Below are 3,061 nucleotides of genomic sequence, written 5' to 3'. Positions count from 1 at the left end.
TTTAATAATAAATATGTCAGTGGGAAGAGAACTAGGGAGAATTAATAACTGTGAGATTTAATCTGGAGAAAATGAATGTAGGACATTGGGTAAGTGACTTAATCCCTTTGGGCCTCAGTTTCCTCATCTATAGAATGTGGGGACCTGATTAGACATTCTCATGGTCCCTTCTAACTTTTAAGTATATATTATTTCAAAGTGAATCTCACAACTCTTGAAGGCATAGAAATAAAGTGAAAGTCTATACTAAGCAGAAGGTGGCAGTGTTGTTGAAGAAAAGGCCTAGATTTTAATACCAGTAAATGCAGGTGGATTGCTATGCATGGTGTTTGCACCTTGATAAAATTAGTGCTGGAGCAAATTAGTGACAAACCACTAATTTAGCAGGATTAAGATATCCTGTTATAACAGGTAGTTGTTTTTCTGAGGTCAATAATATCATTATATATGACATTGCTTTGCTGTGAAATGAGACAGAATCAAATATGATAACCTAAAGCTCACACAAATATAGAAATCATGCTAAGCTCAGAGCTTTTAAGTGAATAATAATTATTGTTATATTGGTTTCAGGTATTTTGAAAGAGTTTGCCTGGCTATTATTAAGTGACAACTTCCTCATACATATTTGCAGTTTGGCACAGATATTTTTAGTGAGGCAAAGTTTTTCATTCTTTGTTTTCCAACTTTTTGAAATAAAGGAGGATTCAAGCACACACGTTTTAATGGGCTTTAGAGAGCTCATCTTTAACACATAGTAATGGTATTCAATAATTCAATCTTTGTTCTTTGTCTTAGAAATATCTGAGTTCAGTGCTTATAGTGGGGTTAAGATATGATATTTAAATTTATGATTTATTGTTTGTTTAGCATAACATACTAGAATACCATTTAATAAGGCAATCGATTGTAGGGACAATTGTTAAATTAAGATTTCATTTAGAATGAAGAAAATCTGTTAGTAGATTTTGGTTGAGTCAGGTACAGTACTCCCCTAAAATCCCCCAAATTTCTACATTAACTAGATACCACTGTCTTAGTCCATTTGGACTACCATAACAGTGTATGATAAATCAAGTAGGTTATAAACAACAGAAATTTATTTCTCTCTGTTCTGGAGTCCAAGATCAAAGTGCCAGCAGCTTCAGTGTCTGGTGAGAGCCTACTTTCTGGCTCATAGACAACACCTTCTTGCCGTGTCCTCACCTGTCCCTCACACATCATTAGGAGTGAGGGAGCTCCCTTGGGCCTCTTGTGTAAGGCTCTGCCCTCATGACCTCATCACCACCCAGAGGCCCCGCCTCCTAATATCATCACTTTGGGGGTTAGGATTTCAGCATATGAATTTTGGGGAGACACACACATTTAGACCATAACAACCATTTTTTACTGCAATATCCCTCTCCCCTCTGCATTTCTGGGAATATATACTATAGGAAGCAGATACACATCCACGCCAAATTGTCTTTCTGTCCCTCTGCAAAATTTTGGGGAAAGATTAAACTATCAGAAAAAACAGAATCAGCTATGCCAAAGATGAAGCATGAGATCACATGTTAATGCTAACACTCTTCCAAAACTCCTTTTTGTCTGGGTTTGTGTCATTTGCATGCAGCCCACAGGGTGGAGGCAGAAACCAGTGTGGGAGAGTGGGAGGCCTCTCCAGTTGTAGGAGTCAAAGCCTCCATTCTTAGTTGAATACCCTTTATTTATTTCTCCTGCCTGATTGCCCTGGCTAGAACTTCCAACACTATGTTGAATAGGAGTGGTGAGAGAGGGCATCCCTGTCTTGTGCCAGTTTTCAAAGGGAATGCTTCCAGTTTTTGCCCATTCAGTATGATATTGGCTGTGGGTTTGTCATAAATAGCTCTTATTGTTTTGAGATATGTCCCATCAATACCTAGTTTATTGAGAGTTTTTAGCATGAAGGGCTGTTGAATTTTGTTGAAGGCCTTTTCTGCATCTATTGAGATAATCATGTGGTTTTTTGTCTTTGGTTCTGTTTATAGGATGGATTACGTTTATTGATTTGTGTATGTTGAACCAGCCTTGCATCCCAGGGATGAAGCCAACTTGATCATGGTGGATAAGCTTTTTGATGTGCTGCTGGATTCGGTTGGTCAGTATTTTATTGAGGATTTTTGCACCGATGTTCATCAGGGATATTGGTCTAAAATTCTCTTTTTTTGTTGTGTCTCTGCGAGGCTTTGGTATCAGGATGATGTTGGCCTAATGTAAATGACGAGTTAATGGGTGCGGCACACCAACATGGCACATGTATACATATGTAACAAACCTGCACGTTGTGCACATGTACCCTATAACTTAAAGTGTGTGAGTATATATATGTATATATGTGTATATATATGTATATATATGTGTGTATATATATATTTATATATGTATATATGTGTATATATATGTATATATATGTGCGTGTGTATATATGTGTGTGTGTGTGTGTGTGTGTGTGTGTGTGTGTGTGTGTATATATATATATATAGCGCCTCCATTCGCCCACTGCTGGGCCACCATCCCCCAAGGTTGTTGCCTTACTCCTAAATTACCATGGCTTTTCCAGCAGGAACATTAAAGTTTCATTTTAGGTAACATCTTTCCTTCTTTATGAAGCTGACTCCATGTATCTAAGCTACATATTCTCATGTCTGGGGTAACTTCCTATATTATACCATGAGCATCTCTTTCTATTGCCTCAAATTCCCATGGCAGCACCCATCAGAGTGACCTCCTTGTTCTTCCTTGATGATGCCAGACCTGTTCCCACCTCAGGACTTTTACAGTGGCTGTTCCCTATGCCTGGAATGCTTTTCCCCTGATAATCATGTGACTAACTTTCTTAATGCTTCCAAATCTTTTTGTTCTAATGTCGCTTTCTCTGTGAAGACTTCCCTGATCTTCTATATGCAGTTGCTACTCCCTTCACCCCCACCGTCCTCTGTCCCCAGCATTCCCACTCCCCTTTCCTCTCAATTTTTTTCCATAGCACTTCCCACCTTCTAATAACTACATAACTTACATATTGATTTTGTTTACTGTTTGT

Source organism: Homo sapiens, chromosome 4 (assembly GCF_000001405.40).
Source record: "Homo sapiens chromosome 4, GRCh38.p14 Primary Assembly".
Lineage (NCBI taxonomy): Eukaryota > Metazoa > Chordata > Mammalia > Primates > Hominidae > Homo > Homo sapiens.
The sequence above is the reverse complement of the archived record's forward strand: the minus strand, read 5'-3'. Positions refer to the sequence as shown.